We start from the raw sequence: 14,996 nt of genomic DNA, 5'->3' as shown, positions 1-14,996 counted from the left end.
GAGGATCACAGAGCCACTCAGTGTCGCTGACCACCAGGGAGGGATGGGGCAGTGTGTCACTGATGTGAGGCTCCTTAAGCATCAGTCTGTGAAGGGCCACCAGTGCCCCACGCCCCCCAGGGAAGCGAGGACAGCCCCACCCGCTGTCTAGCCTCACTCGGGGCACTCAGGGTCCTCGCCAGTGGGGCTGGGTTGGGGGAATGCACAAGATGGGGCCTCAGGAGGAAGATCTGCAGGAGACACATGCTTTCTTTGCACGAGCAGTGGCTTGCTTGGGGGAGAGCAGGCTGGGCCCAGAGCGGCCCTTCCCCACCCCATCTCCTTGGTCCTGTGCCGTTTCTGCCCTGGTGTCTGGTCTGGGGTGTGCACCCCACTTCTGCCACCCATTTTGCACCTGCACAGGCAGCTGGCTCCCCAGTTCCCAACAGGCCACCCAGCCAGGCCCCTGGCCCAGCTCCCCACCCATCTCCACCCACCACAGGGCCTCCTCAGTCCCCCACACTCCCAGACCTCAGGTGGTGCCTCCAGAGCGAGCTGTGTCCACACAGGGCTCTACTGGAATGCCTGGCTCTTTGGAGAGGCTGAGGCTGACTGAATGGGCTCTGGGCAGCAGCTGGCACGGATGCCATCCTGGTTGGGGCTCACCTCCAAGAGAAGCGTGTCCGGCAGGTACCGGTCCTTCCAGTGGTCGAGGAAGACCATGTCCAGTGTGTCCACATCATACTTCTTCTTCAGCTGGGGGATGATGTCCTGGGACGCTCCAACCACAAGGGTGACCTGGAACAGCGCCTGTCAGTGCCCACGTCCTCACAGACAGGAGGCCATCCCTACACACCTATACAACAGCGCCTGTCAGTGCCCACGCCCACACAGACAGGAGGCCATCTTTACACACCCATACAAGCATTCATCAGTTTTCTTTAGGGTTCTGGGATGACAAGGCCCCACTCTGTCCCTGCCCCTCCTGGTGCCACCTTGGCAGTTTACCCAGAGCTGTGAGACCCTCACTGAGCTGCTGGGGGGGTCTTTCCTCAGCCCCAGGCTGGGAAGCACTGAGGGGCCTGGTGATAGTGGGTTTTCAGTGAACGTGGTGTGAACACCTGGTGGGGAGGACAAAGTGCGCATGCCCTCCCTGCCCACAGCCGGCCCTTTTTCCAGGTCTGACAACGGGTCAGGCATGCACACCTTGTCCTTCACGCCAGCGAAATCCACCATCCGCTGGGTGATGGCGGCACAGTCGGGGTTGATCTCGATGGTGATGAGCCTCGCCCCTGGTGACAGCAGGCGGGCCATGCGCACAGCTGAGTAGCCACAGTAGGCCCCCAGCTCCAGCAGCACGGAGGGCTGGTGCTCCTGAATCACGGCGTCCACGATCTTGCCTGTGCAGGGTTGGGGACGGAGGAGAGGTGAGCACAGGTGGAGAGAGGGGAACTTGGATCCCCAGGCACGGCCCCCCACCTCTCCCAAAGAGCAGGAGCCCCTCCCAAATGCCTGGCCGCTGGCCCTCCTCTGCCCACCCTCCCTACCCGCTGGAGGGGTATTTCACCTCCCTGGTGTCCCCAGCCCCCAGGACCTGGTCCCCACTGTGAGCGCGCTTGGAGCTCCCATGGTCCCTTAGCCTCTATGCTCACGCTGGTCCCTATCTTTTCCACCCTTCCTGGCTGGCCCCAGTGTGTCCTAACACAGAGCTGCCCTCTCTGAATCACCGAACCGCCCACCTTGGGGCCCTGGGGCGGCACTAGTTCCCTGAGTCACTCCGTGAGCCCGGTAACACATCCTGTGCCCCAGGCTGAAGTTCAAGCGGGAGGCGGGCCCAGGAGAACCTGTCTGACTGGTCCCCAGGCAGGTCCCATGGTGGCCAGAACAGAGTTCAAGGGGAACTGCACCACCGTCAGACCCTGTGAGTGTGGGGGCCTGTTGTCCTGGGGCAGCAGGCAGCAGGGCCTGCAGGGGTCATCAGGGACCCTGGCACCCTGGGACTCCAGAGGAGCCCCCCAGCCCTATCTGGGCATATCCCAGGGTTCCCAGCCCCCTGGAAATGGGGTGATAACAGCTTCTCCTGTAAGGGCTTTGATGCCTGGTCCTGGGTCCCTGTCCCAGAGCTGAGCACCTGCTGGCCCGGACCCCACCTTTCTTGTCGCCCACGTTCATGGCCCACTCCTTCTGCTCGCAGTAGGTGTCAATGGCCTCCAGCACGCTCTGTGCGTTCCCGGGCTCCGCATGCTGCAGCACGTGGTTCAGGATGCGCTGCTCCTTGGTGTCACCCATGAGCAGGTTGTGGATGGGCTGCAGGATGAACTCGTTCCAGCCGATAAGGCACAGGCCCCAGCCCCAGTGCCTCAGAAGCAGCAGCAGCACCACCAGCAGCACCAGGCCCAGCAACACAGCTGCCAACAGCAGAGGCGGGGCCTCCGGCATCTGCAGGGCGGGAGGGGAGGGGCGCCAGTGCTCTGTGCTCCTCCTGCAGCACCCACACGCCCCTTTGCTTGGAGTGCCACCATCGCCCCCTTGTGTTTGCAGAGGGGCAAGGTTCAGAAATGCCAGCCTTGTGCCTCAGTTGCCTGACGTGTCAGCGCCAGGGAGCCAGCCTTCTCGTGCCCTCTGGTGCCCTCGGGTAGACAGAGCAGGTGTGTGCCTCTGGCAGTCCTGTGTGGAGCCTGCAGGGTCACACTCCCTGGCCCTGGGTGCTTCCCCAGGCAGCCCAGGGATCCTCTAAAACCACACAAAATACAGAAGCAGACACGGACTCAGGCTGTTGTCTCCCAGCTGGCTTAGAGGACACCCAGGGGTAGGGAAGCCCCATGGCCCGGAGTTGGGGGTAGTCACGGGTGGCCAAAGGAGAGGCTGTATGGTGCAGCCCCTTGGCCTCATGTGGTGAGCCCGTGCTGGTCACCCATGCTCTGGACGCCCCAGGGATTCATGTGGCCTTTTCATTGAGTGTCCAAGTAAGGACACTGGCAGTCCCCAGGCCAGGCACACCAGGACAGACCCACTCACCACTCCCCTTGGGAACAGCAACGTGGCATGTCCCAGATGAGAAAGGCCAGCCCTGCCGCCCACAACAGTGTACCTCGTGGGGCACAGTGATGGCAAGTGACCCCACTTGAAACCTGTTTGAAATCCTCCTGGTGTGACCCTCCAGGCAGGTAGCCTGGGAACCAGACAGAAGCCTGGTGAGGGGACCCAGCAGGCAGAGAGCAGAGCACAGGAGGCCTGAGGCAGAAGCCCAGGGGTTCAGGTCACAGACCCTAAAACGGGAAGGACACAAGGAAACTTCTTCTAGGGCCCCTGTGCTCACTCAGAGGTCTTTCTGGGATGGGGCCCTGGGCTCCCAGTGGCATAGGAGATCCCACTCTCTGCTGGACGCTCCATTTTAGAAAGGCACACCCAGGCAAGGAGGCAGGCCTAGGGCCACAGAGGGGACACCCCTGGAGGCCAGCCTCAGGGCACCAGAGGACAGAGCAGAAGAGAACAGGGAAGCAGAGGCTCCGCCCTAGGGGGAGGTCATGCGGACACCAGGCTTCTAGGGGATTTCAGGCCATGTGGCCTATTTACACAGGCAGAGTGGACATGTGCTCAGCAGACCTGTGCCCATGCACCGGGCCGGAATCTGTACCCACCCTGGCACTGCCCCGGCTTCCGTTGGCCAACTCACCTTCAAAGCACCTCTGAGCAGGCTCCAGCCCTCTGGCTGCGGGAGGGGTCTGGGGTCTCCTCTGAGCTCGGCAGCAAAGCAGATGTTATTTCTGTGGAAATCAATTTTGCCTTTGGATAATCATCAACATAAACCCTAACCTGGCGATGACCAAGGTCCAGATACCTGAGCCCCTTCCCCGGATAGGGCCAGCCTGGCCTGAGCCTTCCCTAGCAGGGCGAGGGCAGTGCTTCGCCTTTCCGGCCTCAGAAGAGACAGCAGAAGGCCTCAGAGAGGCCAAGGGACATCCCTACTAGTGTCCCCCAGCCAGGGACCCCAGGGGCAGTCTCCTGGTCCCTGTCCACACTGCCCTGTGGGCTATGTGTGTGTGCACCTGCACCTTGTGAACCACAAGAGGAGGGAACCACTCTGCTCAAGTTGTATTTCCCCTGAAGAGTCCTTAGTACCTTGGAAATGATGTGTAAGACCAAGGGCTAGTTTACCAAGAACATACACAAACCAGTAAGAAAAAGATGATGAGACAGATAGGTCACAGTGGCCAACATGCAGCTCACAGGAAAAGGCCAAAGGCCAGAGCCCCGAGCAGGTGATGGAACCCGGTGCAGGGCTCAGTGACAGTGGGGGTGCCCCTGTCCACAGCTGCAGGAGTGGGAATCGTGCTGCCTTCTGCTGCTACCCTTGGGAAGGGTCCCAGGCCTGCAGGGAAACCCGTGGCCCACTGTGTTTCCCAGCGGGGCAGGACGTGCCATGACCCACAGGGCTCGTGGGGAAAAAACAAGAGATGGTGCTTCCCTAAGGACAGTGTCCTTATTCTGGCAGGAAGATGACAGGGGGAACCATGGTGGAGAGGGACCATGCAGACCTGAAGCAGCCAGAACTTTCCACCTTGCTCCTTTCTTCATGGTGGGGATTTCCTATGACACAGCCTGTTGCTTTGTTTACTATTATTTATCTGCTATGGTTTATCTATAATGACTACTAGTATTTGTGTGGTCAGATAATGGGCCATTTTGTTTACTCTCCATATTTAAAAAACAGTGTTAGAAATATATACCCCAAATTAAAAGGGCTATTCTGAAACAGCAAATTACTTGGTAGACCTTGGAGTCCCAAATTATAAATCCAAATCTGCGTTAATACTTGAATTGTGTAAGAATTTGGCTTTTGAATCTCTAATCTCTAGGTCTGTCTGTTCATAAATCTGCAGGCAGTGTCTCCCAGGGCCTAGTGGGAGGCAGCAGAGGGGAGGAGGCCACAGCAGGGAGGGGCCCGAAGCCCCCTTCCTTTGCCTGGCAGGAGGGACCGGCCCACTCCACTCTGCAGGCTGGGCCTGGCTGGTGCAAGGAGGCACCCAGTGCCCGCCTGTCCCACCTGCCCGCGGCTCTGTGGCCAACTGGGGTCCAATGGCCAAGAGCCATGGGGGCTGGGGAAGTGCTCAAGGCCAAAGGCTCTGCGGCCAACTGGGCCCCAACGGCCAAGAGCCATGGGGGATGGGGAAGTGCTCAAGGCCAAAGGCTCAAAGGCCAACACGCCCAGGCCACAATGCAGTGCCTGGGGGCTACAGTGCCCACGGCCACCTCACAAGGCCCTCCAGCAACCGCCAGAGGAGAAGAGCGCTGGGATTCCCTTGTGAGTGTGAACTGAAGCCCTGAGCAGAGGGACTGGCTGCCCCGGGCCACCAACAGAGCCCTGGCCCCTGCCCACCCCACCTCCCGACAGCTAACCACCTCCGCTCCGCCCCGCCCCAGCCCCGTAGGGCCTCCCCGCCCACCCTCCTCTCTGCTCGCTGGTGTGGGATGGGAGGCCCCAGAAGGGGAGGCCCCGCCCACTGGGCCGGGAGGGACGCGGGACCACATCCAATTGACTTTGGGACCACGCCCACCCAGCCACGGAGGAGGGTGGGATCACGCCCACCTGGCCATCCGAGGGCTGACCCTGCGCTGTCACCGGCCACTGCCCAGTTTCGCAGGACGAAAGAGCAGGCAAGTGAGAAAATGGAGGGCGGGTCCTGAAAAGCCGAGAATCAGGCCTCCCTTTAAAGAAAGCCACGTAGAAACCCACCTGTGCTACTCAAAGCTGCTCGGATGTTCCCAGCCCTGGGATTTTGCCCCGTCAGCCCTCCATGGGGAAAAGGAACAGCTCCTTTAGTTTGGGGTCCCAGGACTCGAGAGTGGGCACGCCAGCTCAGTGTCCGACTCGGGACCCCCTATGATCCGATCGCCCTACTTTGGCTGTGTGGTCTGGGGAGCGTCAAGAGTCCCCCCTTACCTTACAGAGAGGCAAAAAGACAGTTTTGAATGCCCCTGTGGTGGGGGGCGGTGGGGTGCAGGCCGGAGGACCGAGGGGAATTCTCTCTGCTTTTGTGTATGTTTGAAATGTGCTTTTTTTTTGTTTTTTTGAAACAGGGTCTCACTCTGTCGCTCAGCCTGGAGTGCAGTGGCGCGGTCGCAGCTCACTGCAGTCTCGACCTCCTGGGCTCAAGGGATCCTCCTGCCTCAGCCCCCCCAAGTAGCTGGGACGACAGATGTGCACCACCGCACACCCAGCTTTTTTTTTTTTTTTTTTTTGGTAGAGATGGAGTGGAGGTGGGGTCTCGATATTTTGCCCAGGCTAGTCTCCTGAGCTCAAGTGCTCCACCCCCTTGGCCTTCCAAAGTGCTGGGATTACATGCATGAGCCACCGTGCCCAGCTGGCTTTTTTTTTTTTTTTTTTTTAAGGAAAATAACAAGTGTTAGCAAGGATGTGATGAAATGGGAACCCTCTTGCATTGCTGGTGTGAATGCCGTGGAAAACAGTTTGGTAGTTCTTCAAAAAGTTAAACATGTGGTCAGACCTGGTGGCTCATGACTGTAATTCCAGCACTTTGGGAGGTTGGGATGGGAGGATTGCTTGAGCCCAGGAGTCCCATACCAGTCTGGGAAACATGGCAAGACCCCATCTCTACAAAAAACTTAAAAATTAGCCAGGCGTGGTGGTCCGCACGTGTAGTCCCAGATACTTGGGAGGCTGAGGCGGGAGGATCACCTGAGCCCAGGAGGTTGAGGCTGCACAGGGCTGTGATCCTGCCACTGCACTCCAGCCTGGGCAACAGAGCAAGACCCCGTCTCAAAAAAAAAAAAAAAATTAAACATGCTATGCACCCACAAATATTAAAAAATTCTTAAAAACCCACAAAAATTAAAAATAAAAAAAAGTTAAAATAGAACTACCATATGACCCAGCAATTCTACTCCTAGGTGTATACCAAGAATTGAAAACAGGGACTAAACCAGATACTCGTACCCCAATATGCATAGCAACATCATCCACAATGGCCAACAGGTAGAAACAACCCTTCCATCCGTTAGCACCTGAATGGATAATAAAACATGGTAGAGCCATACAATGAGGTATGATTCAGTTATTAAAATGAATAAAGTACAGATGAATTCACGGTTCATCAAAATGGATGAACCTTCTGCACCGGCTGCCTGGCCATCGGCTCGCAAGCTCATGAGACCCCCGTGAGGTCCACATTCCCTCCTCTGTGAAACGGCTGATGGTCTTACCTCTCCAGCACAGTAGAGGGCAGGCATGATCGTGCCCACACAGCACCTGCACATGCTTGCCACATGCACGCCACATGCAGATGCACGTGTGAGGGCATCCTCAGTGCCTCACAGTGCGGCCAGGACACAGGCAGCTGGGCTTGACACCTCTGGCTCTAAAGAGCATGAAGCTTCTGGGCCTCAGTGCCAGGCCTGCCCAAGCTTCTCTGCCCAGCAGTCTGCTGCAGAGCTAGAGAGTCCATCACCTCTGTCACCTGGTCAGTATTCTCTCTCACATTGGACACACCCTAGATGACATTCATCTGCCTTTATTTTATTTCTTTAGAGACAGGGTCCTGTTCAATTGCCCAGGCTGGAGTGCAGTGGCGTGATCAAGGCTCACTGCAGCTGCAGCCTTGAACTCCCAGGCTCAAGGCATCCTCCTGAGTAGCTGGGACCACAGGTGCACACCACTGCATCTGGTCTCATCTTTCTTTAAAAGACAGGAATGCTGGCCGGGCGCGGTGGCTCATGCCTGTAATCCCAGCACTTTGGGAGGCCGGGGCGGGCAGATCACGAGGTCAGGAGATCGAGACCATCCTGGCTAACACAGTGAAACCCTGTCTCTACTAAAAATACAAAAAATTGGCCGGGTGTGGTGGCAGGCACCTGTAGTCCCAGCTACTCGGGAGGCTGAGGCAGGAGAATGGCGTGAACCCCAGAGGCGGAGCTTGCAGTGAGCCGAGATCACGCCACTGCACTCCAGCCTGGGTAACAGAGTGAGACTCCGTCTCAAAAAAAAAAAAAAGACAGGAATGTTTTCCATAAATATACTGCAAGTAACATCAGTGAAATGAGACTCTTAAAAATCCTTTAAAATATGAACTATGGCTGGAACAGTGGCCACACCTGTAATCCCAATACTTTGGGAGGCTGAGGCAGGAGGATCACTTGAGCCCAGGCGTTCAGGACCACTCTGGGCAACATAGTAAGACCCTGTCTCTATAAGAAATTAAAAAATAAACTAATTATATGACCTGGTTTCTAGGCTCATTTTAAAAAATCCGTAAAAGATAACTAGAAAATGGGCCTGGTGTGGTGGCTTACGCCTGTAATCCCAGCACTTTGGGAGGCCAAGGCGGGCAGACCACAAGGTCAGGATTTCGAGATCAGCCTGGCCAATATGGTGAAACCCTGTCTCTACTAAAAATACAAAAATTAGCCAGGCTTGGTGGCAAGCACCTGTTAGTCCCAGCTACTCAGGAGGCTGAGGCAGGAGAATAGCCTGAACCTGGGAGGCAGAGGTTGCAGGGAGCTAAGATCACTCCATTGCACTCCAGCCTGGGTGACAGAGCGAGACTCCGTCTCAAAAAAAAAAAAAAAAAAAAAAAAGAGAGCTCAAGACCATCCTGGCCAACATGGTGAAACCCTGTCTCTGCTAAAAATAACAAAAATTAGCTGGGCGTGGTGGTGTGTGCCTGTAGTCCTGGTTACTCAGGAGGCTGAGGCAGGAGAATCACTTGAACCCGGGAGGCGGTTGCAGTGAGCTGAGATCACACCACTGCACTCCAGCCTGGGCAGCAGAGCGAGACTCCATCTCAAAAAAAAAAAAAAAAAAAAAAAAAGAAAAAAAGAAAAAAAAGAAAGAAAGATAACTAGAAACTGACTTTGTTCTCTTTGCAAAGATCTGGGGTCCATCAGTTTTTCATTCTGCTATCACCTCTGTCAGAAGAGTGATTGACACTTTGGTCTCTATTCACCCACATCCTCCTGCTCAGGAAGGTGTCTTTCTCCTCCTCCTGGGAGAAAGACAGCTACCAGGGGCCACGGAGAGAAAGACTGGGCTGCACAGCAAGCTCAGGAGACCTCAGGTTGTGCTCTGAAATGGCTGTGCATCCTCCGTTCTCCACAGAGGGCCAACATGCGGCTGCAGTGACCCTCGGAAAGGCCACTGGCCATTTGGGGCACACTGTTCTCACTATTCCAGAACACAGAACCAATGCTAACAGCACCCTGCACACTGAGAGCCACTGTGGCTTGGACGTGCCTCATCCTGCCCTCACAGGGCTGGTGGCCCAGTCGGGGAGACAAGCATAGAGCCACAGGCGTGATGACAAACAGGACACAGATGGCAGGAAGGAGGCCAGTTCTAAGCGTTTACACACGGGGCAGCTCTGCTCGGCACACAGGTCCCCCACGGGGGCTGCAGAGGGCCCTACCTGGGGCTTGCTCAACAGGGCTGGAAACCCCCAGCAAAGGCTGGAACTGCTGCAAGAAGCCCTGCCCTTTGGGGCTGATCCGGTGTGATAAAGGGGGACCAGGATTCTGGCAGGGGATTCGACTGCGATCCAGTAATCCAGGGAGAGCCAGTACAGGTGCGTAGAGACAGGCCAGGCAGCACCAGGTAGGCCACACGCTTGGGCAGCGCCTGTGGACAGGCTGAGAGGACACCTGGAGGCCAGCCTGGGAGACCCCACAGGCTGCAGCCAGGCCCCGCGCTCATCTCTGGACCCAGGGGCTGGCCACTCACCTCCATCCAGCCTCTGGGAATCTAAAGGAATGACCAGAAGTTTAATGGCCACAAAATACCCATTGAGCCAGGCATGGTGGTGTGCCTATAGCTGCAGCTACTCAGGAGGCTGAAGTGGGAGGATTGCTTGGGCCCAGGAGTTGGAGGCTGGAGTGAGCCATGATTGCACCATGTCGTCCATCCTGGGCGACAGACACTGTCTCTAAAACAACACCACAATAAAAATGCCATCAAATCCAGATGGGGCCTCGCCTCTTTCTGGCAGCACTCTGGGAGTGTCCCCCTCCTGCCACTGTCTCATAACCCCCAGTACAAGAAGCTGTCATTTCTCCAACCTGCAGAGAGGAAGGAGGAGGCAGAGGACTAGCCTCTCACCCCGGTGACACCTGAGAAGAGGTGAGACAGTGCACCTGCTCTGGGCACCCTGCGAGGGGCCTACCTGCTATTTCTGTAAATGAAGCTTTATCAGAACGCACAATCAACCAGGCACGGTGGCTCACGTCTGTAATCCCAGCATTTTGGGAGGCTGAGGCGGGTGGATCACCTGAGGTCAGGAGTTCAAGAACAGCCTGACCAACATGGTGAAACCCCAGTCTCTATTAAAAATACACAATTAGCCAGACATGGTGATGCATGCCTGTAATCCCAGCTACTTGGGAGGCTGAGGCAGGAGAATCGCTAGAACTCGGGAGGTGGAGGTTGCAGTGAGCCGAGATGGTGCCATTACACTCCAGCCTGGGCAACAAGAGTGGGACTCCATCTCAAAACAAAACAAAACAAAAAACGCACAATTGCACAGACATTGTCCGTGGCTGCTCTCATCCGACCATGGCAGAGGTGAGCAGTTGCAACAAAGACTGCACCCTACATAGGGAAAGGGGCTGGTGTGGAAGGGAAGGGGTCAGAATGGAAGGTCAGATGGCCAGGCAGAGGGCAGCCTCCTGTAGCCTCCCCCGCCTGGTATCCTCAGTGGGGCCAGGCCCCCAGGCTCAGGGGAAGGCTTTTTTTTTTTTTGACTCAATACCTAATAGCTAAAGGGAAGGCTTTCACACGGACTGCACACCTGCTTCAAGCCAGGTGCTGCAGGGACCACGGTGACTTTGTCTTCACAGACACACCAAGAGGCAGATGCAAGGGCTGGGCTGAGAGAGGCAAGAGGCTGCACTGCACCTGCAGATTCACAGCCCCAGGGGGCCAGCTGGGCCATCCCTGCCTGTGGGGCCCCTCCACTCCTTTACTGTGGCCCCGTCGGGGCCCCCTCCCCTCCCTTCCATGGGCCAGACCTGCATGGTGGTCGCACATTCGCTTTATCCTTCAAGGGTGTTCTCCTGGTCACATCCGATTCTGCCTTGGCACCTGCTTGGAGGCCCCCTGCAGGTCAACCTGCTCATGTGGCAGGAGCTCAGTGTCCCGGCTCCCAGCAGAGGGCAGGCCTGGGGCAAGAGTGGAGGCTGGCTTGGCTCAGTGTGGAGGGGACAGAAAGGACAGGGGTGCCTTTAGGGAGGGGCAGAAAGGGCCTGGACATGCCTAGTGGGGTGACGTGCAGGCTGGCCATCTGCCCCGCTGGACTGAGCCCGGGAGCCTGCCCTGCCTGGGAATGGGGACTATTTTGGCAGCTGCTGAGTACTGTAAACAAAGCCGGCTGGGTGCAGTGGCTCACGCCTGTAATCCCAGCACTTTGGGAGGCTGAGGCAGGCAGATCACAAGGTCTGGAGTTGGAGACCATCCTGGCCAACATGGTGAAACTCTGTTTCCACTAAAAATGCAAAAAATGAGCCGGGCATGGTGGCGGGTGCCTGTAGTCCCAGCTACTCGGGAGGCTGAGGCAGGAGAATCGCTTGAACCGTGGAGGTGGAGGTTGTTGCAGTGAGTGGAGATAGTGCCACTGCACTCCAGCCTGGGCAACAGAGCGAGACTCTGTCTCAAAAAAACAACAACAAAAAAACAAAGCCCCAGCATCTGGACCAGGCTCTGGGCCAGGCCTGCATCCAGACCGCACTGGATGTGAGTGGAATCTGACCTCCTCATTGCTCTCCTCAAGGCTGAGTGGCAGCCCCACCCCCAGCGCCCAGGCCATGAGTCCTGAGGCCCACCGTGGCAGCAGCCTGGACAAAGACTCCCCCATCACACTCCGGCCAGGCTCCTCTGAGCACGTTTCTCGGCTGAGCCTCACCTTGGCCTATCAGGCCTTGAACAAACACTAACAAAGCTGCTGCTGCTTCATTTTATTTATTTATTTATTTATTTATTTATTTATTTATTTATTTATTTATTTATTTTTTGAGACGGGCTGTCACTCTGTCACACAGACTGGAGTGCAGTGGCGCGATCTCGGCTCACTGCAACCTCCGCCTCCTGGGTTCAAGCGATTCTCCTGCCTCAGCCTCCTGAGTAGCTGGGATTATAGGCTCACACCACCACGCCTAGCTAATTTTTGTATTTTTAGTAGAGACAAGGTTTCACCATGTTGGTCAGGCTGGTCTTGAACTCCTGACCTTGTGATCTGCCCACCTCGGCCTCCCAAAGTGCTGGGATTACAGGCGTGAGCCACTGCGCTCGGCTGTTTTTTTTTTGTTGTTGTTTTGTTTTGTTTTGAGACGGAGTCTTGCTCTGTCTCCCAGGCTAGAGTGCAGTGGCGCAATCTCGGCTCACTGCAAGCTCCATCCCCCGGGTTCATGGCATTCTCCTGCCTCAGCCTCCCAGTAGCTGGGACTACAGGCGCCCGCCACCACGCCCGGCTAACTTTTTTGTGTTTTTGGTAGAGACGGGGTTTCACCATGTTAGCCAGGATGGTCTCGATCTCCTGACCTCATGATCCGCCCGCCTTGGCCTCCCAAAGTGCTGGGATTACAGGCATGAGCCACCGCACCTGCCTGGCCTTTTTGTTTTTAAAGACAGGGTCTTGCTCTGTCGCCCAGGCGGGAGTGCAGTGGCGTGATCACCTCTGCCGCCCAGGCTGGAGTGCAGTGGTGCAATCAGCTTGCTGCAACCTTGAACTCTTGGGCTCCAGCAGTCCTCCTGCTTCAGCCTCCTGAGTAACTGGGACTACACAGGGGCATGCCGCAGTGCCTGGCTAATTTTTTAAAAATTATTTTTGTAGAGACAGCGTCTTGCTATGTTGCCCAGGCTGGTCTTAAACTCCTGGCCTCAAGTGATTCTCCAGCCTCAGCCTCCCAAAGTGCTGGGATTACAGGTGTAAGCCATACTGCACATGGCTTCTAACAGCTCAAGGCCACATTCCTAAAATGATCCCAGCCCCCTTCAAAGCGCCTGCCTGAGAAAGTCATGGCTACCAAGAGAATTTCCTGTGTTCTGGCCAACACCTGAAGATGGGGCCCCTGTCTCCCAGCCTCTGTGGGACTGGGGGCCTGACTTCAGTAAGCCCCCGTGGCAAACCCAGATTGGTTTCCCAAGGCTAACCCTCCCTTCCTGCTTTTGGTAATTTTCCACTTTCCTCACTCCACTGAGTCCCCACTGTTCTTCCTCCCCACTCCCCACTTCTTTGCACAACTCGGAGCGGAGCTCGGCTCTCTCCCCTCCTGTCACTGGTCACCAAATATTATAATTTCCGTCCTCACCACTTTAATGTCCAGCTGTGTTTCTCTGTGATCAGGGGCCAGGACTTGGATCTGGATGGGAACCACCATCCGATCAACCCTCGGATGCAACAACCGGAGCACACAGTGTACACAGCGATCCGTGTTATCTCCACTCTGCCTGCTCATGCGGGAGTCACATGGTTTGATTTGTGATCCAGTGGTCCGGAAGAATATCGGATGCAGCAGTGAGGACAGACATTGCTTCTAATGATTTTATGATTCTGAGTAAGGCTCTGAGGCGCTAAGAGTCCCAGGCTTTTTTTTTTTTTTTTTTTGGGACAGAGTCTTGCTCTGTCGCCCAGGCTGGAGTGCAGTGGCATAATCTCGGCTCATTGCAAGCTCCGTCCCCCGGGTTCATGCCATTCTCCTGCCTCAGCCTCCCAAGTAGCTGGGACTATAGGTGCCCACCACAACGCCCGGCTAATTTTTTGTATTTTTAGTAGAGATGGGGTTTCACCGTGTTAGCCAGGATGGTCTTGATCTCCTGACCTCGTGATTCGCCCGCCTCGGCCTCCCAAAGTGCTGGGATTACAGGCGTGCGCCACCGCGCCCGCCCCAGGCTTCTTCTGAACGCTACCTACCTCCTGGGCTGGAAGTTCTTCTTCCTAGTGCCTCGTTCCCAGAGGGGATTCACTCCTGACTCCTGGTGGAGCTGTCTTGCCCCCTCTGTTCTGTGTTCTTGCTCCTCCCGTGGGAGCGTCTTACTGGAGCCCTGCTGATCATGCCCTCTGCGCTACTTTAATCAGCACATCAAAACAAAACTGCAAGGAACAAGTGCGCCTCTGTCTGCTTCCTTCCTTGTTGATGTGACTTTACCAAGGATAATTTGGAACATCAGTGGCTCCTTTGGGATACTTGAGATCTCCCCAAACTAGCTCCTCTCAGGCCTCTCCCTTCCTATCACCTCCATACTTCCCTACTTTCTCTTGAAGGAGACACCCCCTTCAAGTCTGGCCTCCTCCACCTGTGGATCCCCGCTGCAGGCCTCTCTCTTCCCCCTCCAGCCCCTCAACTCCCCACGGTCCCTGGAACTTTAGGCTTCCTGCCCCATCAGGGGCTCGCAGTGCCTCAGGGACCCACAAAAGCAACCAGCTGAGCTCACTGGAAACATGTAGTCATCCATCAGGGCAAAACAAGTCGTAAAGGTCTTATCCACAAATACAGGTAGAAAGCCTTCCCCTCACATGGAGCAAGTGACCCTTAACTTGTCCAATTTGCCAGAAACACAGTTCAGATAAAAATATAAAATAGGGCTGGGTGGTGGCTCACACCTGTAATCCCAGCACTTTGGGAGGCCAAGGTAAGTGGATCACTTGAGGCTAGGAGTTCAAGACCAGCCTGGGCAACACAGCAAGACCTTGTCTCTACAGAAAAAAAAAAAAAAAAAAAAAAGAAAAGAAAAGAAAAGAAAAAATATATAAAATAGAGTAAAAAAAAAAGTGAGAACTAGCTCTTATATAAACTAGTGAGTTGTGTTTTGTTAATTGCGTTTGATAATATATTGGCCTAAAAAAGCTTACAAGATGTTTTCAGTAACTTTCAACCTCAGAGTCATACTAAGTGAAGTTAAATAATAGACATTCATTGAATATCTAAATAATACCTGAAGAGAAGAAAGTGCTGAAACATTCATTATTAAGCGTAACTTTTTGTACTTTTTGGCTTCTTATTTTTATATGGTACAG

At 55.4% G+C, this 14,996-nt stretch overlaps 1 protein-coding gene and 1 non-coding gene across 6 annotated transcripts in view, besides 8 other annotated features; both read right to left on the bottom strand.

The window, feature by feature from the left end:
- Positions 1 to 14,996, bottom strand: part of COMT (catechol-O-methyltransferase) — a 28,204-nt gene that overhangs the window by 5,031 nt on the left and 8,177 nt on the right. Inside the window, exons 1-5 of one of the 5 annotated variants that reach the window (NM_001135161.2) lie at positions 13,893 to 14,043; positions 3,656 to 3,746; positions 2,130 to 2,418; positions 1,186 to 1,379; positions 646 to 777 (exon numbers count right to left, since the gene is read on the bottom strand). In NM_001135161.2, coding sequence (NP_001128633.1) covers positions 646 to 777; positions 1,186 to 1,379; positions 2,130 to 2,418 — 615 coding nt within the window. In that variant the 5' untranslated portion in view covers positions 3,656 to 3,746; positions 13,893 to 14,043. Of the gene's footprint in view, positions 1 to 645; positions 778 to 1,185; positions 1,380 to 2,129; positions 2,713 to 3,655; positions 3,747 to 13,290; positions 13,428 to 13,892; positions 14,044 to 14,996 lie in introns of those variants that run through there. The other 4 variants (NM_001135162.2, NM_001362828.2, NM_000754.4 and 1 more) reach the window with 4 other exon arrangements.
- Positions 704 to 1,419: an enhancer, noted in NCBI's record as "H3K27ac-H3K4me1 hESC enhancer chr22:19951049-19951764 (GRCh37/hg19 assembly coordinates)". NCBI's record gives its function as "activates a minimal SCP1, AML or CMV promoter by ChIP-STARR-seq in naive H9 embryonic stem cells {active_cell/tissue: H9 hESC(naive)}" and the evidence as "EXISTENCE:reporter gene assay evidence [ECO:0000049][PMID:30033119]".
- MIR4761 (microRNA 4761) lies at positions 1,111 to 1,192 on the bottom strand. Its single transcript, NR_039918.1, has one exon. It is a non-coding gene; the product is annotated as a microRNA 4761 (primary transcript).
- Positions 1,420 to 2,135: an enhancer, noted in NCBI's record as "H3K27ac-H3K4me1 hESC enhancer chr22:19950333-19951048 (GRCh37/hg19 assembly coordinates)". NCBI's record gives its function as "activates a minimal SCP1, AML or CMV promoter by ChIP-STARR-seq in naive and primed H9 embryonic stem cells {active_cell/tissue: H9 hESC(naive and primed)}" and the evidence as "EXISTENCE:reporter gene assay evidence [ECO:0000049][PMID:30033119]".
- Positions 2,136 to 2,851: an enhancer, noted in NCBI's record as "H3K27ac-H3K4me1 hESC enhancer chr22:19949617-19950332 (GRCh37/hg19 assembly coordinates)". NCBI's record gives its function as "activates a minimal SCP1, AML or CMV promoter by ChIP-STARR-seq in naive and primed H9 embryonic stem cells {active_cell/tissue: H9 hESC(naive and primed)}" and the evidence as "EXISTENCE:reporter gene assay evidence [ECO:0000049][PMID:30033119]".
- Positions 9,050 to 9,217: a silencer, noted in NCBI's record as "fragment chr22:19943251-19943418 (GRCh37/hg19 assembly coordinates)". NCBI's record gives its function as "represses an EF-1alpha promoter that drives an FKBP-Casp9 reporter gene in an ReSE screen in HepG2 liver carcinoma cells {active_cell/tissue: HepG2}" and the evidence as "EXISTENCE:reporter gene assay evidence [ECO:0000049][PMID:32094911]".
- Positions 9,520 to 10,171: an enhancer, noted in NCBI's record as "H3K27ac-H3K4me1 hESC enhancer chr22:19942297-19942948 (GRCh37/hg19 assembly coordinates)". NCBI's record gives its function as "activates a minimal SCP1, AML or CMV promoter by ChIP-STARR-seq in naive H9 embryonic stem cells {active_cell/tissue: H9 hESC(naive)}" and the evidence as "EXISTENCE:reporter gene assay evidence [ECO:0000049][PMID:30033119]".
- Positions 10,436 to 11,057: an enhancer, noted in NCBI's record as "H3K4me1 hESC enhancer chr22:19941411-19942032 (GRCh37/hg19 assembly coordinates)". NCBI's record gives its function as "activates a minimal SCP1, AML or CMV promoter by ChIP-STARR-seq in naive H9 embryonic stem cells {active_cell/tissue: H9 hESC(naive)}" and the evidence as "EXISTENCE:reporter gene assay evidence [ECO:0000049][PMID:30033119]".
- Positions 11,058 to 11,681: an enhancer, noted in NCBI's record as "H3K4me1 hESC enhancer chr22:19940787-19941410 (GRCh37/hg19 assembly coordinates)". NCBI's record gives its function as "activates a minimal SCP1, AML or CMV promoter by ChIP-STARR-seq in naive H9 embryonic stem cells {active_cell/tissue: H9 hESC(naive)}" and the evidence as "EXISTENCE:reporter gene assay evidence [ECO:0000049][PMID:30033119]".
- Positions 13,005 to 13,299: an enhancer, noted in NCBI's record as "tiled region #2516; HepG2 Activating DNase matched - State 5:Enh". NCBI's record gives its function as "activates a minimal TATA promoter and a strong SV40 promoter by Sharpr-MPRA in HepG2 cells {active_cell/tissue: HepG2}" and the evidence as "EXISTENCE:reporter gene assay evidence [ECO:0000049][PMID:27701403]".

The sequence above is a fragment of the Homo sapiens genome, chromosome 22 (genome assembly GCF_000001405.40).
Source record: "Homo sapiens chromosome 22, GRCh38.p14 Primary Assembly".
Taxonomy (NCBI): domain Eukaryota; kingdom Metazoa; phylum Chordata; class Mammalia; order Primates; family Hominidae; genus Homo; species Homo sapiens.
This window is presented reverse-complemented; position numbering and strand designations above follow the sequence as displayed.